At 40.8% G+C, this 25,581-nt stretch overlaps 2 protein-coding genes across 4 annotated transcripts in view, besides 6 other annotated features; one reads left to right on the top strand and one right to left on the bottom strand.

The window, feature by feature from the left end:
* Positions 1–1,284: 1,284 nt before the first annotated feature.
* TIFA (TRAF interacting protein with forkhead associated domain) lies at positions 1,285–12,652 on the bottom strand. The gene is made up of 2 exons (NM_052864.3): positions 12,388–12,652; positions 1,285–5,182 (listed from the first exon to the last, which is right to left on the bottom strand). The coding sequence occupies exon 2, from the start codon at positions 5,162–5,164 to the stop codon at positions 4,610–4,612; it is 555 nt and encodes a 184-aa protein (NP_443096.1). The 5' UTR covers positions 5,165–5,182; positions 12,388–12,652; the 3' UTR covers positions 1,285–4,609.
* Positions 6,277–6,506: an enhancer, noted in NCBI's record as "active region_21823". NCBI's record gives its function as "activates an Ori minimal core promoter by ATAC-STARR-seq in GM12878 lymphoblastoid cells {active_cell/tissue: GM12878}" and the evidence as "EXISTENCE:reporter gene assay evidence [ECO:0000049][PMID:35858748]".
* Positions 11,425–11,604: an enhancer, noted in NCBI's record as "active region_21824". NCBI's record gives its function as "activates an Ori minimal core promoter by ATAC-STARR-seq in GM12878 lymphoblastoid cells {active_cell/tissue: GM12878}" and the evidence as "EXISTENCE:reporter gene assay evidence [ECO:0000049][PMID:35858748]".
* Positions 11,635–11,754: an enhancer, noted in NCBI's record as "active region_21825". NCBI's record gives its function as "activates an Ori minimal core promoter by ATAC-STARR-seq in GM12878 lymphoblastoid cells {active_cell/tissue: GM12878}" and the evidence as "EXISTENCE:reporter gene assay evidence [ECO:0000049][PMID:35858748]".
* Positions 12,395–12,704: a silencer, noted in NCBI's record as "silent region_15637". NCBI's record gives its function as "represses an Ori minimal core promoter by ATAC-STARR-seq in GM12878 lymphoblastoid cells {active_cell/tissue: GM12878}" and the evidence as "EXISTENCE:reporter gene assay evidence [ECO:0000049][PMID:35858748]".
* Positions 14,264–14,383: an enhancer, noted in NCBI's record as "active region_21826". NCBI's record gives its function as "activates an Ori minimal core promoter by ATAC-STARR-seq in GM12878 lymphoblastoid cells {active_cell/tissue: GM12878}" and the evidence as "EXISTENCE:reporter gene assay evidence [ECO:0000049][PMID:35858748]".
* Positions 23,881–24,175: an enhancer, noted in NCBI's record as "tiled region #9995; K562 Activating DNase unmatched - State 1:Tss". NCBI's record gives its function as "activates a minimal TATA promoter and a strong SV40 promoter by Sharpr-MPRA in K562 cells {active_cell/tissue: K562}" and the evidence as "EXISTENCE:reporter gene assay evidence [ECO:0000049][PMID:27701403]".
* The window catches only part of ALPK1 (alpha kinase 1), a 145,253-nt gene continuing 143,788 nt past the window's right edge, over positions 24,117–25,581 (top strand). For all 3 annotated transcript variants that reach the window (NM_025144.4, NM_001102406.2, NM_001253884.2), the window contains exon 1: positions 24,117–24,217. The gene's annotated coding sequence lies outside the window, so the exon portion shown is untranslated. The remainder of the gene's footprint in view (positions 24,218–25,581) is intronic.

Raw genomic sequence — 25,581 nt, forward strand, 5'->3', positions numbered from 1 at the left:
GTAGTTCAGAAATCTTATATGAGACCATTAAAAATGAGGACCTAACTCTGCCCCATGCTACTCAGAGGAGCAGGTACTGTGTGTAAATGCTGTGGTAAGGAGACTACATACTTTATCTCTGATATTCACAGAGACCCTATGAAGGAGGCACTATTTAATCCTTGTTTTTCAAAAAAGGAATCTGAGTTATGTCAAATTACAGGAATGGTAGATAAACCCAAGCAGTATGACTCAGAGCCCACACTCAACACTGTACAATTCTTTCCGGTAGAAATTAGGTCAGTATTGTTTTCAGAGTTTTGGGGGCTTCAGGGGATTTTTTTGCTTAGCTATTAAAAAGAATGTGTCTAACCTGGGCGGGTGCGGTGGCTCATGCCTGTAATCCCAGCACTTTGGGAGGCCAAGACAGGCAGATCACCTGAGGTCAGGAGTTCAAGAGCAGCCTGACCAACACGGAGAAATCCCATCTCTACTAAAAATACAAAATTAGCCAGGCGTGGTGGAGCATGCCTGTAATCCTAGCTACTCTGGAGGCTGAGGCAGGAGAATTGCTTGAACCCGGGAGGCAGAGGTTGTAGTGAGCCGAGATCGCGCCATTGCACTCTAGCCTGGGCAACAAGAGCGAAACTCTGACTCAAAAAAAAAAAGAATGTGTCTAACCTAACTTTGAAGGATTAAAAAACTTTCAAGATGCCGAAAGTGATATTATTATAAAAAGGTACTGTGAACTAAGGGGAAATTTCATTGTCACACCTTATTGTGACTGTCTAATCTCAGAAGTTTTCTGTTTTAAAATGTCACTGTTGAATTAGCTCAGTTGATTGTTCATAGTCAGTTACAGATTGAATTTCTTGTTCTACTCTTTTCCCCCCTTCTGACTACTGCACTTGAGTAGTCTAAAAAAAAAAAAAAAAGTCACTGTCTTGATTTGGGCCTTCAAGCAGTTATTTTACTGTTGCCACTAAGCAGGGCCAAACTGGTTCATCTCTAGTCCCTTGGTAGCCTTCCATCAGCAACAAAATTATGAAACCAGCAACAGAGCTGAACCTAATGCCATCCCAGTTTCTTCACCAGTGCTCCCAGCCCTAAGTTCATTGCTTAAGAGGTAAAGGACAAATAAGTATTTTCATGTAGGTTGAATAGGTTGGATCTGAGGACAACCCATACCAACTAGAAACCTATTAAATTCCACCCACTTGTCGTAGGGCTCATCTTGGTCACCACCTGAAATGGAGACTGATAGTTTCAATCATGGTCCACTTAGTAAAATAATAACAAAGCCTGTTATCTTAATAATATAAGTAATTAATTAAACAAGTGTTAGAGAATTGGAAACATAAAAAGAGCCAGGAGGTAACATAAAACCATCCACCACATATACACACACACAAAGTTAACAGTAGTTCTCTTCTGGTAGTAAGATTATGGCTAATTTTTCTACAAGGCATATATATTTATTTACACATATAAATTTTTTTTTAATGTAAAGCTTAAGTGAACACATACCTGATCCCACCTCCATTAAAACAAATACCACCACTTATGTTAGAGTCTAACAGTAATACTTACTTTTAAGTCAGTTACTGCATTAGATAGTAGGAACAGAATTCTCTAGAAAATGGTTATATGGCCTATGAGATTTAACCACTGGAGTTGCAGGTTCAAGAAGAGACTGCCAAGGATTCTAACACTGGCACCATTAATACACCTCTCTACCTAAGGAGCCCCAGAAAAATCACTTTCCAGGGACAAAGAAGTCCTTAAAGTGTATATGGAAGGTTTCACATCTTAGCTTCAGTACCTTGTATCAAACACCAATATTTTTGTTTGCCCCACCCCCACCCCTGTGACCATTTTTTTGAGAAAATGCTGTATCTATCCACATGATCACTGACCAGAGCAGCCATTATATAATGTGACTGCGTTACCTGAGACAAGTTGATTGGTGAAGGGGTGGGCACCTGACCCAAGCTGACCCGTCCCTGGAACTGAAATCAAGAGATCAGGTCTCTTTGGGGGATCAATAACGTGTAAAACTTGGGAGCTACAGGTGGCCATGGAGCCAATATGCATTGAGGGTCAGAGCCAGAGCATTCGAATCTCACCTGAGGTCTGCTGCATTCCTTCCTCGGTTCTATGAAATATGGTAGCTTTCCTCTAACAACCCCGCTTTGGGGTTGGGTAGCTCAGGCAGAGATGCTAACTTTGTAATCAAAACAATTCTAATACTAACCAATTGCTCTTTCATTATTAAAGCGTTCATTATTATTTACTACCGGAGTTGGGCTATGGAAAGTGTTTCTATTCTTTGGAGAACAATATAAACTTTTAGCAACCCACTCTCTCCTTTGCCAATCTTTGAAGAAAAGAAAATAGAATAAAAAATTTAATATTTCTCAAGTTGAACAAAACCCTTTCCAAGATTTACATTAGGAGAAATCATTATTCTGTACAAGATTTTTCTGGCCCTAAATATTACTTAACACATTGTTTGGATTCAATAACAATAATACATGAATCCCTTAATATTAAATTTATAACTTAGAAACACATTCATCAGCCTCAAAGACAAGAAACAGAGGTGAAAGTCTTCCAAAATAGTCAAAATGTGACAGTATACACACATTAAAGTATATACACTTCACTCATAGAACGCCTTTACCATGAGACTACACACTGTAAGCAATTCAAGCCGGGTGATCTGGCTGTAAACCCACATCAGACCAGAAGCTAAAATCCTAGAAAGAATCAATAGTAGATAACCTTATATTAAAGGGAGTATATTAGTTTTCTATCTGCTGCTATAACAAATTACTGTGATTTAGTGGCTTACGACCAACACAAATTTATCATCATAAAGTTTTGTAGGTTAACAAGTCAAACATATTCTCACTGGACCAAAATCAAGGTGTCCACAAGACTTTGTTCCTTTCTGGATATTTCTTTGTCTTTTCTGGCTTCCAGATGTCCAATGCACACTTTCCAGCTTCAAGAGACTGTCCACATTCCTTGGCTCATGACCTCCCCTTCCTCCCAGCAACAGCAAGTCAAGTCTGTCTCACACCTCATCACGCTGACATCCTGATCTGCCTCTCTTCCACTTTTACGGATCCGGTGATCAATTGGGCACACCCAGATAATCCAGCATAATCTATTTTACTTCCATCTGCAGCCTTCATTCCCCTTTGCCACATAACAACACAGTTACAAGTTCTGGAGACTAGCACATGGACATCTGGACATCTTTGGATGGGCCATTACTCTGGGCATCACAGGGAATAAACAGGAAAACCAGACACAGGAACTCCAACAGTCATTCAGGCCACTTTGTACAGGGACAAATATTTCACTCTACTGGAATAGTCCCAGGGCTGGGGAGTCGGGGTTAGGGTGCTGGACATCACATACTACTGCCCAGGAATAGACTGACAGTCTGAATCAAGATGAGGTTTAAAGCCTCTTTTGGTAAGAGGCTGGAGGGTTCCCAAAAGCATTTTTAAAAGGCTGTTACAAAAATACGGACCTCTTACTACAGGAAATTTCATTTACCTGGAAAATTGTACAGTGAGCCTCACTACCTGGCAATGCTACAATTTAACTTAACTGAATGGTTACCTCATCTACTTAACATTCATAGCTACCTTAGTTAAGATAAGTCGAATAAGTATCTTAAATAAATAAATTTTTATTTAAGAACTGAAAAAGACTTTTTTGAAGTTAATATTTTAGAAATATTTAAGCGTTTATCATAAACATTCACATACATTTATCTCTGTAAAGTGGCCCAAGAACAGTTATTTCCCTTATTTAGAAAAAAATTCAAAGAAAATGGCTAATTAAACTTTGATTTTATTATGTACATGGATACTATTAAAAAGGTGAATTCGTGAAATTTTAAGATTGTGTATAACACATAAAAGTCAAACTTCTAATTTGGTAAGTAAATAATCCTAAACTTAACACAGTGGTTCTTTAAAATGTTTAAATATTTGTCTTAGATGCTGAATATAGACAAAGAGAACTGTCATCTTAGGAGTAAACACACTATAACTCTGTAAAAAGAAATCATAGAAAAGTAAGGTAGTATTTCTCAAATAAGTCCTCCCATGCTAAAACCACAGTGACGCGCAGACACTAGCCTAGAACCTATTCCAGTACTGCAAGTACTGACAGGCTGCAAACACCAGTAACAACCTGCCTGGAGCCTTGACCTTGAAAACAAATGGCTGTTGTGAACTGATGTGACCAAACCAAGAGATGGTTCCTTACAAAAACAAAGCAAAACACAAGATGAAAATCAAGCAGAAAAAGAAAATAATATAACCTTATTTTGAGAACACGACTTCATCTCAAAGGATACTTTTTGTATATTAATCCTCACAGATTAATAAGAGCAGTTAAAATAATTTTGTGTAGATCCAGAATACAACAGGTGACTAAGTTAATGACTAACACAATTTACAGACTTCAAAATGATAATACTGAATTCCAAATTTCACAGCATAACAGATGACTATAATATACTACCCTAATCAACTCTTATTTAGTGTCTATACAGCATCTACAGAGCTCTTCATCCATCATATTTCTCCTCTTAGACTTTCTGTGTTCATGACTCATTTTCATCCATTTCTGTCGGAGAACTGCTTTGGGAGGAGCAGAGCGAATAAGTGCCATACTCCGGTATGGGCCTGTGTGGTGGCCAGTTGTTTTCTTGCAAGAGTGATCTTGGAGATAAAATAAATTGAGTCTCAAAAAATTCCAATGACTCGCCATCTTCCTTCTCCATCAGAAACTGATACTCTCCGAATCTGACCATGCACCTGTATGGCAGGTCCATTTTATTTAGGTAGCCCAGCTCTCTGCTGTCCACGATCAGATTGGTCTTTTTACTCATATTTTTTATTTCAAAGGAGAGAACTGAGCTGTTGAATTTTTTAAACAGCTGCAGAGAAAACTGAACTCGGGAAACCTGTTTGTCCTGAAAAGTATAATGACAGATGTTGGAATTTCGGCCAAATTTCACCACTTCGCTGGAAGGGAGTTTCTCTCTGTTAAAACTTATTGACTGAAATATTCCACACTGCAACTGGCCAGGATGGTAAACCGTCATCTGGAGACAAGTTACTGTCTCTTCTGTGTCAGCATCTTCAAAACTGGTCATGATGTGCACAAGGCCCACCTGCAATAATTAAATTACCATGTTAGTTTCTGCTTATGCTTGAGGCATTGAGAACTTTGATTCTAACGTTTTGATGAACATCATCTGATAGGCAATTTATCTGGACTTTAAGAAAACAGTACATAGACAATACTTTCAGTGAACTAGTAGATATGTGAAATCTTATACCAAGCCCTATAAAATTGCTACACTAGCTTCTCCTATCTTTTTCATTTCTAGTTTGACTATAACACCATACATAAAATGCAGACAATAACAAAGAATGATTTTTGATAATAAAATGATTTGAGGGAAGCATAAAGAAACCTCAGTTCCTCTTTCACCTAAATAGAGTGACTTGAGCCCAGAGAAAATATGACAGGTGTACTTTAAAAAGAAAATTAGGAAATAAAAAATCTCTTTGGTTTGAATACCTTCAGAGGATATATACATAAAGCAAACATAGTTTATTAACTGGATTATAATTAAATATATTATGAATTGTGAAACCTGGTTAAAGAAAAAAACTTAATAGTTATAAACAAACAATTGTAACATTTATCCTTTATATCCTCACTTTGATTTCTAACAGGTAAATGATTAAAAATAGTAAATGCTTTAAATGGTTATTTTATTCTATAATTTCAAATTTTAGACATTACTTTTAAGAATATAAGTCTCCATGAGTTGGTTCTAATTATCACAGCCTGCACTGGTATCAGAATTATTTATTTTTGTCAGTGGTACTCAATGACTGGATGGACAAACTGTCATTAACTACAAATAGCACAGTCCAACTGTTGTTAACCACATCCCTTGAGAGCCGATGGCCCGAGGTGCCCTCCACCTACACTTCACTTCATATATCTTTGGTAATTAGTACAGTACTTAAAAGCAGTATAACAGGACAGGAGAAATAGCTACTAAAATTTTTGTGAAGTTACTTCAACAGAGAATTGCCATTTTAAAACTAATTTTTTAAAAGTACATGTACATGATTTTAAAATTCAAACACTAACAAAGGATTTAAAAAAAAGAGTATTTCTCCCCCACCTGAACTCTTTGTCTTTCTCTCCTAGAGTACAACCACTGTAAAAGCTACTTTTATCCTTAGAGAAATTTTGTTTACATAACCAGCATAACTATATGTGTGCACTCTCACACACACAAACACACATACGAGCACATTTCTCCACAGAGAAAAAAATTTCTTACACAAATAGAAACATGCTATATTTAGTTCTGAACCTTTCTTTGTTCCTCTTTTTTTTTTTTTGAGACAGGTCTCTGTCGCCCAGGCTGGAGTGCAATGGCGCAATCTCAGCTCACTGCAAACTCCACCTCCCGGGTTCAAGCAATTCTCCTGCCTCAACCTCCTGAGTAGCCGGGATTACAGAAACGCACCACCACACCCGGCTAATTTTTGTATTTTTAGTAGAGACGGAGTTTTGCCATGTTAGCCAAGCTGCTCTCAAAACTCCTGAGCTCAGGTGATTCACCCGCCTCGCCCTCCCAAAAGTGCTGGGATTACAGGCGTGAGCCACTATGCCTGACCAATTTTTCAATTAATAATACATATGGGTGATAATTTTCCCATATCTACACTTACAAATATACCTCATTCTTTAACAGCTGCACAGAATTCTGTAACTGTAGCACGGCGAGAAGTTACACCAGTACCCAGAGAGATGCTGAGTGCCGCCTGCATTCCTTGGATGACTCTCCCTTGCTGCAGCTACCGGACACTGTCTGCTTATACTGATTTGGGGTTTGGAGATAATCAGTCTTAAGTGAGATTGATTTGTAGTTTTATTGTTTTTTGTTTGCCATCTATATTAGATGTTGGCATCAAAATTATGCTGGTTTGAAATATAAAAAACAAAAACCAGAAAGAATATTTTCTTTCCCTTTCTATCTTGCTGGCATTTCCTTTTTTTTTTTTTTTTTTTTTTTTGGAGACAGCGTCTTGCTGTCACTGGAGTGCAGTGTGCAGTGGCGTGATCTTGGCTCACTGCAACCTCTGCCTCCCAGGTTCAAGCAATTCTCCTGTCTCAGCCTCCCGAGTAGGTGGGACTACAAGTGTGCGCCACCACTCCCAGCTAATTTTTCATATTTTAGTAGAGACAGGGTTTTACCATGATGCCCAGGCTGCTCTCAAACTCCTGAGCTTAGGCAATCCACCCACCCTCGGTCTCTCAAAGTGCTAGGATTACAGGCATGAGCCACCGTTCCCAGCCCTGCTATTTACTTTTAAAATATAATCTTTCCTTCTGTTTTACAAAGTTTTGCTGCTGGGAATCAAACTCTCAATTTATTCAATTATCCAACAAATGACATAGCTAAGCAATATTTCTTTTCTATTGATTTGAAAATGCATCTTCAATTTTATTTTCATAATATATTTTTGAACATTATTGCATCATATTGCTCTACCCAAGCAGGCCACAGATGTCCAGCTATAAGCAGAAAAACTGAGAAAAATCCTCAAAATCCTGTGCTAGGGGTGGTAAAACTTACTATGAAGCCAAAGTCAGCAAGAATTAACACACAATGGGTAAAACTGGTTAATCCATATTACACTGTGATTTGAAGACACTATAATTATGATAATAAAGTCTCATTATTCAGGAAGCAGACAGCATAAAAGAATAATTATAAGTCATGGGATGATGCATTAGCAGTCGACAAGAAAAGCATTTGCTATTAACAAGAGCCTGAAAAGAAGTGTCAGAAATCTGTAAGTGATCTCCAGCTTTATTTACAATATGCTGCCATCAATTTAGTTCATTCTTGGACTTCAGGCGATAAGAATTCCAAAAGGAGAACTGTATTAAAAACCATGGTGTATTCTGGATCTAAATAGTCTTTTGGTAACATCCAAATTTTGTTTTTGTATGCTTTATATAAGCTATTACTTTATAATTCAGTCTTCTGAGCAAATCAACCACAAGAAAAGCTTACCCCATATAGGTTCTTATACTCAGTCCCCAGGACAGATATATTATCCACTGTTAGAGAGAAAAAATGGCATTCTGGTTTATACATCAGTGGCTATGAGTGTCTTGGGGCAGATCAATTGTCTGGGTTTGATGAATCTCTGGGTTCACAATTGTGACTCCATCCAACAAACACTGAGGCAGACTGCTTTAGTGTCAAATATTTGCTACCCCATCCTTGCAGGCCTGTCCCTACCAGTTCTGCCCCTTTAAAATGATGATCCACTTCATTAACAACCATGTCAATGAAACATGAATGGCAGTGACTTACTTCCAAGCAGAAACTTAAAAGCCACTGTGTAGTTCCACCTTCCCTCTTTCTTTTGTCAAAACATCAGCAGTTCCCACAAGGAGCAGCTCAGTCTGGGTCCCAGAGGGAAGAGCCGAAGACAGATACATAAAGGACAGTTAATATTAGCAAAAAAACCAACCCTTCTTCCAATAAGCCACTGAGATTTTTTAGGTCATTTGTTACTGCACTATATCAGAGCCTGAGCTGATGGATGCATTCACCTATCTTATGAAGGTATAAAACCACAGCAAACTCTGACAGTGATATGGTTTGGCTGTGTCCCCACCCCAATCTCATCTTGAATTATAGCTCCCACGAGTCCCACATGTTGTGGAAGGGACCTGATAGGAGGTAATTGAATCATGGGGATAGGTCTTTCCCATGCTGTTCTTGTGATAGTGAATAAGTATCACAAGATCTGATGGTTTTATAAGGGGGAGTTTCCATGCACAGGCTCTCTCTTTGCCTGCTGCCATCCATGTAAGATGTGACTTGCTCCTCCTTGCCTTCTGCCATGATTGTGAGGCTTCCCCAGCCATGTGGAACTGTGAGTCCATTAAATCTCTTTCCTGTATAAATTACCCGGTCTCAGGTATGTCTTTATTAGCAGTGTGAGAACAAACTAATACAGACAGGAATAAGGGCTATTACTTATTTCATGCCTTTCATGTGCCAGGCAGACTGCTGATACCCTGATACACTGTAACCAAGTACCTCCACTTTTCTAAGTCATAGTTTAATTTTTTTAATTATTTTCTCTTTTCCCTGTGCCCCACTTCCTACTTAGACCTTCAGAAATGCAAATGTAACCATTCACCTTTCCTGACCAGAAATTCCCTACAGGGCAAGTATATCTAACTATGTGCTCCAAGACAACCTTAACTTTGATCTCTCCTGGAGAGTTGACAGTCGATTTGCAGACCAAAGCATGTCCCCACAGAACTCTCACCTCCAGGGGGTGGCCTCTGAACTCACACCTACTAGGAGGGCATGGTGAGAGTATGCCCACTTGGCCACTTATATAACTTATATTTCTGCCCAGGAAGGTGTCAACTCAACTGTCTGGTAGATAAAGCACCAGGGAAGCGGGGGACCCCCTGCTCTGGCTCACTTCCCACCCTACTTTATAAAAGAGGCCCACTTTCTGCTCCAAAAGTGAAGCAGCACATTCTGGGTGTGGATAAAGGCAGGACGTTTTGTGCCCCCTTCTCCAAGCTAGCTTAGGAATTCACTTTTTTTTTGTACCAGACCTCACTCTTGTTAATTGGACTCTGCATGCAGCGGGCAACTAACCTACTTTTTGGTGACAACAGGTCATCTAATCTTCAAAATAACCCTGTGAATCACTGCTTCACTGATAAGGGAGCTGAATCTCAGAGGGTTTAAAAACCAGCCCAGATCATAAATCCAATGTCAGAGACAGGACTCAAACTCCAATGCATCCTCTCTTAACCATTACAAACACTGCCTCCCTGGTTACCAGCTACTTCACAAACTTTAGCAGTTAACCTGTAGAGAAGGGGGACATAAATGTGTGTGGGCTACAACCAGCAAGGCACCAAACAAGAATCTAATACTGGGGAGGGAAATACACCATTAGTGCTACCTCATAGGAGGAACAGGCTCTGAAGCACCAGGTTACGGTGAATATCAGTAACCTGGGTATCAGTAAGCCTGGGTGTATAAATGTTAGCATGGACCTAGTACTCATCGGTAATTGTGGCAGGTTGTTTGGAGACCATGTTGATCTCTGACCTCAAGGAACTTAGAAATGAATCTATTTGTTTATCCTCAAAGCCACAGAGTCCCTCTACAAAGTGACCTGAACACTCTGACATTTCAGAGTGGTCAGCAGAAAAACAGGAAAGACAGAAGCTGACAATTAAAATAATATAGTTAAAATTGTTAGATTTTAAAAAATCATTGGTGCACATTTGCTCAAAACAGCATTTTGAAATCTGTTAGTCGTAAGTTATCAAAGAAACAGGGCAACAATGATTTTATATAGTGATAACAATGGTTACCTCTGGAGACAGAAACTGGGGGCCCAGGATAGGAAGGAGACTTACTCTCCACTGCACACACACTCTACACCTTTGGAATTTTATACCATGTGCACTTCAATATCTATTCAAACACTTAACAAATATTTTCCTTACAAAATCACCAACCTCTGATTTTTATGGAATTGACAGTGGTTGGAGATTAGCAAAGTATTATTAAAGGGGTAAACTGTGATATCTGACATGGAAAAGTTGTAAAACACTGATTAATATCTGACAAACAATAATATCTGTGTTAACAAAGGAAATACAATAAATATAGAAATAAAAATAAGCACTGCAGTTGGGAACTCTGTCTCTGAAAGCTGAATACAGAAGGCATAGATGCTGCATCTTGAGTGTCCAGCTCTTCTGTGCTGGACATCAGGATGTATACACTTAACCTGGGAGGCTTAGAGTTGGGAAGAGAAGAGTTAGATCGAGGGCAAGGCTTCTGACTCCTCTCTGGGGAAAGAAGAATGGATACGTGTAGAGGTGCTATGTGCAAAAACAGCACCTCCACCTCTGCTACCCTCCCTGCAACACAACACACACACACACACACACACACGTACACACACACTCACTAAGGTCCTGCAAAGCCCGTGAAGAGACATACCACCTCTCCTTGCCAAAGGGTGTTCGGCCTTAAAATGCCATAAACAAAAACATATACAGAAATATTTTCGCTACAAGGACCCAGATGTCTAAGCAGTTTAACAGAAAGCTTGGCACCCCTGGGTGGTCATGCATGCCAACCAGATTTCTCATGCTTTAAGAAGTCTATTTTTTAAAACAGGATTGACCAAACTAATGGGGTCTGCTCTGGATGGTGAAAATGTTTACTTTCATTTCCCCCCAACCCCCTCGCCTCCCCAGTTCCCCCTGAATATATTCTCAAGAAAGAGTATGTCTTTGGGTGGTTGCAAGTAGGAAGTTTCAAGGCTTTTCTCCCTAACGAATACCGAACACTGAGCACACAGGAGGGGAACAGAAACTTGGAAGCAGAGCAAAGGACCAAGTTATCCTCCTGTCTAACCCTGCTCAACAGGATCACCCTGAAGTGTGGCTCTGAAGATATTTGTGAACTCTGGCACAGCTGTTTGGCAGAATTAATACTAAAACCACAGGTCTTGCAAAAACAAAGAATCAAAAAAAAAAAAAAAAAGTGAAAACCAAACAGCAGGAGGAAACCCTTAGGAAAGCTCGGTGTCTTTCAGACATGAGATTTTCTTTCTCCCACTCTACTTGACTGGCCTGACCTGGGGTCCAGTCCCACTTCCTGGTGGCTGCGGAAATCCGCAGTGAGGCTCAGTGTGGATTTTGGCTTCAGAGGATTTGGGAAATTCCACCTTTCAATCTGAAATCTGGGGAAAGTCCCAGAAAACAACGGATTACTATATTTCTCTCATGAACCAGACTGAAGCAAGGAGTCAGGTCTAGGACCAAGGACCTCGGCACTCCAGGGAGCCCAGGGCCCCTCAGAAAGGTCTCGCTTGGCCACCGAGAGCGTGGGGCCGTAGCAGTTGGCAAGCGGGGGAGGGGGGTCACGCACAACTGCTCTGGAGCCACACTGCATAAATGGCATTCGTTTTTGTTTTCTGATTAGAAAAACGTTGAAAAGAATACCAAAGTACAGAGAAAACACACCCCCATCTCCAATGTTTCCTCATTTATGTAAATATTCTCATATTTTATAAAACAGGGAGGTGCTGTCTATAATTTTTGCAGGCTTTCCTTAGCATATGGTGAGCGTGTGCCAGGTGAGCAGGAGCAGCGGGGGATGACTTCCGATCCGACACCCCCAAAATCTCCTGGACAAAGCTGCTGTCTTTGCGGGATAAACAGAAAAGGGCCAGTCCCCACCTCACCCCCAGCCCGCCGCCCCGCAAGTACCTGGGGCTGGGGAGTCAGTGAACTCTCTTCAGCTGTTCGGCTCTCCCGGCTCAGAGCGAGGGGAATCGAGGAGACTGGGCGCAGGATGGGGGTGGACACCCGGCCGCTGCTCCTCCGCGCGGGTAAGTGTGAGCCCCGGGGTGCGGGGAACCGAGCCAGGGACCAGTGACCGCGAGCCGCCGATCCTCCCGCGCTCCCGCGCGCGCGGCCTGCCTTCCCACTGGCTGGCAGAGCACGTCCTCTCGCGCCCGGGGCCTTTGTAAAGAGCGCAGCGGTGGCGCGGAGGTTTTCAGGCTCCGCCCGCTCCACTCGCGCTCCCGCCCCTTCCTTCCTCTCGAGGTGACCCGGCAGCTGGCGCCTTTCTCACCAGGTACCCAGCCCCCTGGCCGCCTCTCTCAGTTCTCTGGCAGGGTTTGGTGCGCGGTACACCGACCCGGACCGCGCCTTCCCAAACGAGTGGCCTCTCCTCCAGCCCGATTGGCGAGCTAGAGAAAAGAAGGGAACTGGATCACTTCAGCATTAAGGAGGACTTTTCCCCAAAATGAGTGTTGCCCCAGGGCGTGGGCAGGCGGGGAGCTGAACTAATCTTTCGGTGACTCCAAGGATACCAAGCAAGCCAGTGCGTGGCATGCACGAGCTCCTCTAATCATCGCAGTCCCCCTTACACATGAGTAAACCGAGGCTCAGAGAATGGTGGAGTGTGGCGAGCAGAAGTGGAATTTTTTTTTTCTTTTTTTCTTTTTTTGAGACGAGTCTCACCGTGTCGCCCATGCTGGAGTGCAGTGGCGCCATCTCGGCTCACTGCAACCTCTGCCTCCCGCAGAGGCGGGATTTGAACTTGCTCCAGGTTGCCCTCGCCTTACACCCAGCAGAGCAGTCCAGTCGCTTTCTCTCCTGCCGCTTGCATCGTAATGGACATCCAGAGTCCACAAGTAAAAGCTGGTACATGATGAAATGGGAAACACCTCTCAGGAGTCCTTTATAGCTTAGAAGAAGGTAATGCTACCTTTCTGCCTCAGTGAAAAGATTTGGAATCACCTAAGTGTGAAGAACCTAAGGAGAGTAGGTGTCAAGAGAGGATAGACCCGGGTGCCGTGGCTCAAACCTGTAATCCCAGCACTTTGGGAGGCCGAGGTGGGCGGATCACGAGGCCAGGAGTTTGAGACCAGCCTGGCCAACATGACGAAATTCCATCTCTACTAAAAATACAAAAGTTAGTTGGGCTTGGTGGTGGGTGCCTGTAATCCCAACTACTCGGGAGGCTGAGGCAGGAGAATCACTTGAATCCGGGAGGCAGAGGTTGCAGTGAGGCCGGGATGGCGCCATTGCACGCCAGTCTGGGCAACAGAGTGAGACTCTGTTTAAAGAAAAAGAGAGAGAGAGGATAGACACTGTAGAGACCAGCAATCCCTGTTGGGAACCAGTGTCATGGAAGACTTTTTCCACAGACTGGGGTTGGGGCCACGGGAGATGGTTTCAGGATGATTCAAGCCCATTTCATTTATTGTGCACTTTATTTCTATTATTATTGCATTGTAATATATAATGAGATAATTATACAACTCACCATAATGTCGAATCAGTGGAAGTCCTGAGCTTGTTTTCATGCAACTAGACGGACACATTTGGGGGTGATGGGAGACAGTGACAGATCATCAGGCATTAGATTCTCATAAGAAGCGGGCAACCTAGATCCCTCCCATGTGCAGGGTTCCTGCTCCTATAAGAATCTAATGCCCCAGTGATCTGACAGGAAACAGAGCTCAGGCAGTAACACAGGTGACGGTTAGCAGCTGTAAATACAGATGAAGCTTCGCTTGCTGGCCCTGAGCACACCTCCTGCTTTGCCGCTGGGTTCCTAACAGTCCATGGACCACTGCCAGTCCATGGCCCAGAGGTTGGGGACCCTTGCCATAGAAGGAGAAAGAAGACTGAGGATAGATAGAGGAAGGAGGACAAAACTTGGCTTGGCTGAGATCACAGCGGCCTACTTCTTCGCATGGGAAACCAAATTCTGATGATGGAAATGAGTGGAAGCCCCTTGTCTGTCTTCTGTCCTTGAGTTCAGGAGAGTTGCTTGTTTGTGGATCAGTTTCACTGGCAATAAAATGACACTGATGTCCACCTGATAAAGAGGTGCTATGGGTGCGGTTAAGTTTTGAACTGTGTCAGAGCTAGGTATAATCAAGTACAGTGACTGTGGGGAAAGAAGGGTACATTTACAAGTGAGGCAGATTCCCGTAAGGGCTGCAATTTTGTTAATCATCAACATTTATTATTTCTTCTCTAGAAGTGACAGTCAGGGTACCTTCTCTCAGCTGATGAACATGAGAGCAGGTGGAAGATAAGACGTGCTATCTGATTATGTCAGTGAACTCATACAGTAGAACAGTATTATCAGAATTGGAGTTTCCAATCTCTAATTTGAAAACTGACAAAAGGCCCAGAAAATTTCTAAAAGCTTGAATAAGGCCAGAGCCCCCAAAAAAGTGACTATTTATTTCTGTACTTTCAATTTATTAAGTTTTCTGAAAATCACCAGGGGACATTTGCAAAAGAAGCAATTTTAAGTCACTCATATCTAAATTAGGCAAAGTAATTTGTAATATGGGCTTTATTATTGTTTCAGTTTGTATAAAACCATTAAAAATGATTATTTTTAATGAAGAGATTATTTTAGTTATTATTTAAAACATGAACATCATTCTTTGATAACGAAAATGTCTTTACTGTTAAAGAAACACAATAGGAATTTTAATTATGCAATGAAAGGTACTAGACATTTCAGGAAGGGGTTTATACAAATATCCTCATCTCAGGCTATTATTTCTCTTAAAACAAGCAAATTACTAAAGTCTGAAAGTACTTTGGCCAAAGTTACATCAGACTGAGGAAATGTAAGGCTTCCACTGTGTGCCACCGTTACAAATATGCTAATGAGAACATAGCAGCTGGAAATCACCTTTGAGGCCCTCTTATTGCGGTTTTTCTTTTTGAAAAGAAAAACCAAAAAACAAAAATATTTTTGTTTCAATGTGATCGTGTCATTTTGATAAATTCATTATCTGATCCTGACATAGCCTTAAAGTGTGAAACTTTCTCTTGCACATAGAACTGCTCATGGGCTGCCAACATCTTTTAAATTAGACAGATGCAGTTAAACTCTCCTGTGAATTCAACAGGATTTTAAACTTGGTTAACCTCACTTGCTACAACCAAATGCCCTGAGTGGTGTTGGGGTTATAGGAAGTAACATAAATGCTTTCAGGAAAAAATTACAAGAAACCCTTCAGGGAAATGACTATACTAAAAGTTGGGCTAGGATTGTATTCAAAATAGACGAAAACAGTAGGCATGTGTTATTGATACAGAAAGGAGGGATTTACTGTTTTAATTACCAATGACCCATCATTTAATTTGAAAATAACATAAAATGCCCATAATCCATTATATTTCGATCCAGCTTTGAACAATTTGAAATTTCTAAATTGTATTAACGTTTAAAAAAAAAGTAAAAATTTATCTTGGCTCTCCTATTCAATTGATGGCATGCCATCACTTCCTGTTATCATCATCCCTCATCCCCATGACATGGGTCAATATAATTTCTAATTAAGTTACTTGGTTGTTTGGAAATACAAAGTTTTTCCGTGGCAAGAATCTTAAGAGTTTTAGATATTTTTGCTAGCCCATAATTAAGATGATGTACATTAAACGCCTACTGTATGTTATTTAACATAAAAAATAAAAGCAGCTAATTTGTGGTAATACAATCACACCATGTAAAAAAAAAGAAGAGGTGCATGTTTGTGTTACTTGCTGATAAATGAATTATATGACCTCGCTTTCTGTCCAAGGCGTTCTAAGCACCTGAGACCCACACTTGTCTAACTCTCCCCTGTCCGGCCCTGACGTTTACATTATGTGCAGTTCAGCTCAAGTGTGTCTCACCGCCTCATGGTGGATGCTCTCTGCTAACAAGTGAAAACATTTAGAATCACCTGAGATAGCTGACCTAAATCGTTTTCCACTAGTTCCTAAATGAGGGACAGGCGGCAGCCCAAATCTCTTCCTCTTCCCTGTTCTTGAAGTCAAGTGACCACAATTAAAATTAACAACTTAAAGCCGAGCCCAGTGGCTCACACCTGCAATCCTAGCACTTTGAGAGGCTAAGGCAGGCAGGCAGATCACTTGAGGCCAGGAGTTTGAGACCAGCCTGGCCAAACTGGTGAAACCCTGTCTCTACTAAAAATGCAAAAATTAGCCATAAGTGGTGGCATGCACCTGTAGTCCCAGCTACTCAGAAAGCTGAGACATGAGAATCGCTTGAACGTGGGAGGTGGAGGTTGCAGTGAGCAGAGATCATGCCACTGCACTCCAGTCTGGGCAACAGAGTAAGACTCTGTCTCAAAAAAAAAAAAAAATTGAAAAATAAAATGAGCATTTTAAATCTATGTGTGAAGGATGCACTACTAAAGAAAACAGAGTGCAGAACAAAAATGCTAGCATTTGTGGAAAAACATAAATATGTGAACTATCCAAGGAGATAGAATGGATAATGTTGGTTAATTCTGAGGAGAACATGGCTGACAGAGGACAGAAGGCTGGAGTCAGGCAGAGAGTTCTCACTGTGTCCTTTTTCCAACAGTTTGGCTTTTTGTAATTATCTTCATGTGTTACAGTTACAAACACATACAGACTTTTAAAGAAGAGTCGAGTAAGAGAAATCCCCCAAGAGACAGGTCTCAATGCTTTAAAGCCTTAATATTTTTCATATGATGGAGGTTTACAACAAAATTCAGGCTCTCAAGAAAACAGTCAGATGGTGAGGAGAAAAGTGGATCCCCTAAAGACAAGGCCTCTCAAGGGTGCAGGGAGAGGAATGAGTCAGCCTGTTTGGGCCATCATTTCTGTCCCACGCTGGAGGCAGTTGTGGGAAAGGTGCTGTGGGAGGCAGAATTCTAAAATGGCTCCCTAGGTCTTCACCCCCTGGTATGCACAATTTGTATAATCTCCTCTTGAAAAGAGGTAGAACCTATAAATATGTTGTAATATCACTATGGCGATTAGGTTTATAATCAGTTATCTTTGAGTTAACAAAATGGGAGATGATCCAGCTGGGCTGGGCCTAATCAGGTGAGATTTTGTTTTTGTTTTTGTTTTCTTTTTTTGAGACAGGGTCTCATTCTGTCATCCAGGCTGGAGTGCAGTGGTGCGATCTCTGTTGATTGCAACCGCCACCTCCTGGGTTCGAGCGATTCTCCCACCTCAGCTGAAACTACAGGAGCATACTACCATGCCCGGCTAATTTTTTTATTTCTTGGTAAAGGTGGGGTTTCACCATGTTGGCCAGGCTGGTCTTGAACTCCTGATCTCAGGGGAGCCTCCTGCCTTGGCGTCCCCAAAGTACTGGGATTACAGGCACGAGCCACCGCACCTGGCCTAATCAGGTGGGTTATTAAAGGTAAAAGGACTTCACCCTTCATGAAGTCAAAGACACATGCTCCTGCTGGCCTGGAAGGAGCAAATATCCATGCAGGAGCTGCCTACGAAGGCCACATGGCAAGGAAATTCCAGTGGCATCTAGGAGCTGAGAGTGGCCCAGTCAATAGCTAGCAAGAAAATGGGGGCCTCAGTGCTACAACTGCAATTCTGCCAAAAACCTGAATAAACCTCGAAGGACCCCAAGCCTCAGATAAGAAGTGCAGTGCTCTCAGCTATAAGTGTGCCCAGACTTCTGACTGACAGAAACCTTGAAATAATAAATGAGTGTTGTTTGGTTTTTTGTATATCATAGAACCTTCATTTTTCCTCTAAGTTATTAAAAAAACTTATATAACATCCATGCTCTAGTTATGACACCATTTATAGATGTGTAAAATGCATCTTCATTTGTATATATTTTACAGATAGTTTAATAAGTGCTGTTTTAAGCTGCTAACTTTGTAGCAACCTGTTATGCGCAATTTAAAAAGCTAACATAGTTGCTTTTGTTAGAGGGTCCCAGTCAATTATGAGGGTCCTCAACTTTTTCTGGCCTAAAGCCCCCAGTCACTCATTATGAGGGCTTGAGGCCATGTAGGCAAGCATGGGAGGAACTGATTGGGGGAATACATTATTTCTACCTGTCGTATACTCCCCTCAAACCGAGTAACTTGATTTTTTCCTTGTTGAATCTAAACTTTCTCAAATAGTACTCGTCAGTGTAATTTTTAGTAAAAATCAACAAACAAAAAAACCTCTCCCCTTCTTTAATGTTACATTTAAGTATTTATATTTTTATACTTCAAGTGTTAGTACTTTTCCTTTAACTTTTATTTTATTTTATTTTTTGAAACAGAGTCTCTCTCTGTTGCTCAGGCTGGAGTGCAGTGGCACAATCATGGCTCACCGCAGCCTCAACCACCTTGGCTTCTCCCACCTCAGCCTCCTAAGTAGCTGAGACTACACCTGCCTGGCTAATTTTTGTATTTTTTGTAGAGATGGAGTTTTGCCACGTTGCCCAGGCTGTTCTCAAACTCCTGGACTCAAGGGATCCACCAGCCTCAGCCTCCCAAAGTGCTAGGATTGCAGGTGTAAACCACCATGCTATGAATTACTAGCTTCCCAACAAGGAACAACATTTTAAACCACTAATGAGGGATCATAAGATATACATTTTTAACCCAATGATTTTATTTCCTCATAAAGTAAAATAGCAAAAGTTGGCTCAGAGAAGTGCCATATCTGGACTAAGTTCTTTTCTCGTCCATCTTTCTGATTCTCTCTTTGTGTTTATCCTCATTGTGCTGTCAACTAGGTATGTAAATCTGAAAAGAAAGTTCCAGAATGGCATTCTAGTTCCTATCCCCATAGAAATGTCACTATTCTCTGATATCTGGGGCCTTCAAGTTTATTACATATTAAAATGGTTAAGGTGACCTTGAACTCATCTTCCTACAACGCTGAAGGACCCTCGGAAGGATATAGCCCCTTCTCAAAGTATGTACCACCTGTATATTTTACTTAATCTAGGCTTCAATTGGAAGATTCTCATCCGACTCTACTTATTCATCTTACTAGGTTTGTTTGTTTGTTTGTTTGTTTTTGAGATGGAATCTCACTCTTGTTGCCCAGGCTGGAGTGCAGTGGTGTGATCTCGGCTCACTGCAATCTCCATCTCCTGGGTTCAAGCGATTCTCCTGCCTCAGTCTCCTGAGTAGCTGGGACTACAGGTGCCCACCACCACCCCTGGCTAATTTTGTATTTTTAGTAGAGATGGGGTTTCACCATGTTGGTCAGGCTGTTCTCGAACTCCTGACCTCAGGTGATCCACTCGCCTCGGCCTCCCAAAGTGCTGGGATTACAGGCATGAGTCACCGCGCCCGGCCTAGGATTTTTAAAATAGTCCATCATCTGCTTTCTGCCACTGCTTTACTGATTTGTTCTTGTTATATCCATCCTTGACCTACTTGCCAAGCCAAAGGACACTTTTCTGTTCTCGTCCTACTTCACTTCTCTGCATCATTTGTTCTTGTTGACCAATTTCACTTCATTGACACTGTCACTTCCATCTACTTGGCTTTTAAGCAGGCTTTCCTGAGTGTGTGACCTGTGCAATCCATAGGGCCCTGCACTCAGAGTCCCATGCTTATATCGGCTATCATCAACCTGAAATGCTTAATATTTTTGAACAAGAGGCCCTGCAAAGTCTCTTGCCAGTCCTGTTTTTAGGATATACTTTGTTTTGGTTTTTTTACTACTGTTCTAAGCGTTCTTTACCCATCTCCTCTATGGATCTCTCTTTTTCTGCGTGAATGCCAGTATTACCAACTTCCACCTCTGTGGCCTTCTTTCTATCCTGTACATTCCCCTTTGGTAATATCTAACTACAATTATAGTTTTTTGACTGCCTCTAAGTCATTTACCCATATTTCTGTGTCTCTCACCCAGGCCTGTGATTCTATTTCCTAAATATTTCTTTCCCTTCCTTTTTATTCCATTGCTACTGCCATTAATTAAGGCTAGTCATCACTTCTCTCTACAATACTGCAGTACTCTTCTAACTCATTTTCCTAATTCCAGTCTTGCCTCCTAATCCACCCACCACCAGGATCCCTCCCTTGCATGAACCTTGCTCCATACTCCAACCTTCCCACAACAGTAAGTATTCTTTCTAAAACAGTTTTATGATTTTACATTCTTTGAAATTTTCTGTTTTCTGTTGTTTTTTTTTTTCTTGAGATGGAGTCTTGCTCTGTTGCCCAGGCTGGAGTGCAGTGGCGCAATCTTGCCTCACTGCAACCTCCACCTCCCGGGTTCAAGAAATTCTCTGCCTCAGCCTCCCAAGTAGCTGTGACTACAGGCATCCGCCACCACGCCCAGCTAATTTTTGTATTTTTAGTAGAGACAAGGTTTCACCATCTTGGCCAGGCTGGTCTTGAACTCCTGACCTCGTGATCCGCCCGCCTCGGCCTCTCAGAGTGCTGGGATTACAGGCGTGAGCCACCACGCCTGGCCCAAATTTTCTATGTTGTCAATATAAATATCCAAACTCCTTAAAATGAAACACAAAGACCTCCTATTATGAGCCAACTCTTGCCAATTTTTTCCAACTAATTTCTGGCCACATCACTACTAATCCATCAGTCACTGTGATTGCCTTAAGTGCATTGCTTGTGTGCACAGTCTGAATCTGTAGCACCAATGTAGCACTTGACACAAAAGATTCCCTAAACATGTTATTGAGATGAACGAATGATGTCAGCTTGTATCAGCATTTTATATTTTATATTCAAGATGATAAATCCTAGAAAATCAAAATGAGTATGATGCTGCAGCCAGTTTTCCTGCGTGTCATAATGTATTCCTTATATAGGTGTACATCTCAATCACTTAAAATAGTTGAAATTTGTGTAATGAAACTTCCATCTTTGAAATCTTACTAAAACTCACCACTGGATTATAAATGAGCCATTTTGTCTTTGTGTTTTACATGACTCTAAGGATCTTACCAGGAATCCCTGTTGAAGACAATCTGACTGTTGTCCAAACTGTAAGAAAGATAATATCTCCTATGAGATCCCTCCTCTTCTATCAGTGCCATTGCCTTTCTCTCCATACTCAGGTGTACAGTGCCCTTTTTTAGGCTCTGAAATGTACAGCCCTTCATCCTAAACACTGTATTTCCAACATTTTTGCTCCCCTACCCCCAAATAGAATTTTGCAAAGACAATAATTCCTTCACATAAAGTCGATATTCATCTTTCATTATAACTTTAGATACAAAGGGTCTAAATCTGACGTTGAATAAACATAACTCATACATTACTCTTTTAAATGTATCCAACACAAATTTTATATCCTAGTGATTTGATGTTCCCCATCATCCATTTAAAAACGCATGTACAGGCTGGGCGCAGTGGCTCACTCCCATAGTCCCAACACTTTGGGAGGCTGAGATGGGTAGATCACTTGAGCCCAGGAGTTCGAGACCAGTCTGGACAACATGGAGAAACACTGTCTTTACAAAAAACAAACAAACAAAAAAACAAAAACAAAAATTAGCCAGGTGTGATGGTGTACACCTGTGGTCCCAGCTACCTGGGAGGCTGAAGCAGGAGGATCACTTGAGACCAGGAGGTCAAGGCTGCAGTGAGCTGTGATTGTGCCACTGCATTCCAGCCCAGGTGACAGCCCTATCTCAAAAAAGTTTAAAATTTAAAAAATTTAAAAATAAAGACACATGTACAAATCTTTTTTAACAATTGGAAATTTTATATCATTCCTGTATTTCCGTAACCTTCTGTTTCATTTCACTTCATCCATAGAAGTTTATCCTAGTATAAAACAGTTTATATACTTGAAAGTTTTTGTCATATTTCTTTACAGTAAAAATATGTAGGCCGGGTGCAGTGGCTCAAGCCTGTAATCCCAGCACTTTGGGAAGCGAAGGCAGGCAGATCACCAGAGGTCAGGAGTTCGAGACCAGCCTGGCCGATATGGTGAAACCCTGTCTCTACTAAAATACAAAAATTAGCTGGGCGTGGTGGCGGGTGCCTGTAGTCCCAGTTACTTGGGAAGCTGAGGCAGGAGAATCGCTTGAACCCAGGAGGCAGAGGTTGCAGTGAACAGAGATCATGCCACTGCACTCCAGCCTGGGCAACATGTCTCTCAAAAAAAGTATATATTGAAATTAAACCTTTCTGGCTGGGTGTGGTGGCTCACACCTGTAATCCCAGTGCTTTGGGAGGCCGAGGCAGACAGACCTGAGGTCAGGAGTTCGAGACCAGCCTGGCCAACATGGTGAAGCCCCACCTCTACTAAAAATACAAAAAATTAGCTGGGCGTGCTGGCAGGCACCTGTAATCCCAGCTACTCGGAAGGCTGAGGCAGGAGAATCGTTTGAACCCAGGAGGCAGAGGCTGCAGCGAGCCGAGATTGTGCCACTGCACCCCAGCCTGGGCAACAAGAGCGAAACTCCATCTCAAAAAAAAAAAAAAAAATAGAAAAGAAAAAAGAAATTAAACATTTCTGTTTTCTGTGACCATAGACTCTAAGTATTAAACTTTCTTAAAGATTGAATTGTACAAGTATTGATTCATAATTGATGAAGAAGACAAAAATAAAATGGTACGTTTTGATGAATATTAAGTGATAAAATTTATTCAAGTGTCACTTCTCCATAAGATTTCTGGAGTTTTAAAAAATTAATTCACAGCTGAATGTTACTTATAGTTGGAATAAAACAACATTCCACAAAAATATACACATGGAAGAGGAGAGGAACTGTGTTTACATAAATAAATAGAGATAGAATTTTGTTATAGCAATGCCATTTGGTTATTTAAACTTCTAAGGTCATATATTAAACATTACATAGCGATCTATCACACAAAAAAAATGTGTTTTAAGTGATCGAGCAACTGACTATTCAACTATTTCCTCCTATTTTGTTGTAAACAATTGACTTGCCAAAGCATTTATGACCCAGCTTTTGGAGTCCTTCACTCTCTCAGTTTCTAGGAAGTATACCAAAGGCTTTACCAAAATGTATCAAATGACTATTAATAAAACCTATTATTCCTTCACTCTAGAGGAAACTTCTTTAACCCAGCAGGCTCAAAAAGGATTGAGAAAATTAAAATATTGTTTATGTCAATAACTTTTCCAATAAAATATATTTTGACATTTAGAAATCTTAGGTACTTTTGATTTTTTTGTCAAAATTTCGAGTTGCAGATTTCAGTTGTTCCATGGAAGGACAATGTCCACTGTGTAACTCAATAAGACACTTTTCACTGTCAAACTAGTCAGCCTAATCAGATATTCTATCCAAAAAGTCCTAACTTTATTTTCCAGTTCAGCAATATATGTGTCTCTGTGATAACAAGCTCACTTCTAAGACAGAGCACAGAATGAAGCCTTAATGTGCATCTGTCTTTTGCTAACAGATTTCAACAATGTCATATTCATTGTTTCTTACTGACATTCTCTCTTCTTGGCTCTAAGAGGACTCTCCATTCTTAGTCTAAATAATAAGTTTTTCTTGCACTTTCATTAGGAGAAGGAACTTTTCTGTAGTAATACAGCTCCCAGAATACCTTTCACCGAAGCAATTCCTAAAGGGGTGTGTCTTATGGTGCAAGATTGCTGAAAGTCCCGGAATTGAATTACACAACCATATTCTGAGACAGTCACAGGATTGGTTGTTTTTTTTTTTTTAATTCCTACTTCCTGAAACTGAAGCCGTTTATGAGAAACAGTGTGTTTCAGAGAGGCTGTACCAGAATTAACTCTGCTCAGAGTTAGATTTGCTGGTCTTAAAGTACTTTTCCTCTTTAAGATAAAAGTGAGTATCATCCTTTAAATGACAAAACGCAGTAGATGGCATAATATATGAGGAAGTATTTGTCTTAAGTGTTGACTCAGTTTCCATCTGCTGATCTTGTTTATATTTAAATAACTTTAGAGCTCTAAGAACCTTTGCACTTCTATAATAGAAACTTTCCAGAAAGGGGAGGATGAGTTGGTGGGGTGAAGGGGGTGGAGTGGGGAAGGGGAGGGAGAGAAGGGAAAAGTTACCTACAATGGTAAACTGTAGTCATTATGAAGGGGAGAAGGCAAACCAGTTTTTCATAAGGTTTTAATAACAAGTTTCTTAAGTCACTGAGCTTCTGGTCTTGTCACTTAACTGAGATGTTTAATTAAAGGATTGTTAGGATTATTTGTTTAAAAAAAAACTCTATGACTTTTGCCTGGAATACATAGGTAATAATAGAAACTACCACTTTTATGACAGCATCAGTAATTTTGCTAGGAAACAGGTAGATAAGGCACGAGACTTACTCGTCTCATATGGGTGAATTGACGGGAATTCTGAGTGCGTGGAAGCATTGTTTAGAGACAAAGCATCCAGAAAAATTAAATTCCTTTGCATGTCTATTTAGAAAAATCCTTTAATTAAAAAATTCTAGTGTTTGAAATTAGTACTTTAGAGTACTTTGAAAAGCCACAAATTAAAACCTTTAAGATGGTTTGGGATTTGAGGATGGGTGAGGGTACAAACAGGCAGGATCAGGAAGGAGAGGACTTTATGCCACAATATAATAGCATCTCTGCTTGCGATATATATTTCTCTCTCTCTCTGTCTCTCTCTCTCTCCCTTTTACTTTCTTTTTACTTTGTGCCACTAATTCTCTTATAAGAAACAATATCCATTTAATTTGGGGTATAATTTATGCACTTGGGATACACTCTAGTCTCTAGAACCAATGTCAAGTCCAGTCCTTGTCTGCTGACCGAAACAATTTACTTCTCTCTTCCCACCTCCTTCCCACCCCATCAACCTCAAGCCTCAAGAGAAACAAAATACTTAAACTTATTTTAGAAATAACTTATTCCCCATATCAAAGATCTTTTAAATCTGAGATGAATCTCTCAAATTTCTTCCGCCAAGAAGACACCAAAATTGTATAGCATCTCTATCTGCATGAGTAGGAAGCCAATAATTACTTTAAACTTTTCAAAATCTATTTTAAACTGTAAAGAAAAGGCATGTGTAAATTATGATGGATATTAGGCATTATCATATATAATAATACTGTGATGAGCTTTGCTGATGTGTTAAGCTGTAACAATACCTCCCAGCAAGTGCCATGTGATCTAGGTTTGGATTTAGAGCCTGAAGTTTTCCTTAAGAATAAGTTTGTGCAT

The sequence above is a fragment of the Homo sapiens genome, chromosome 4 (genome assembly GCF_000001405.40).
Source record: "Homo sapiens chromosome 4, GRCh38.p14 Primary Assembly".
NCBI lineage: Eukaryota > Metazoa > Chordata > Mammalia > Primates > Hominidae > Homo > Homo sapiens.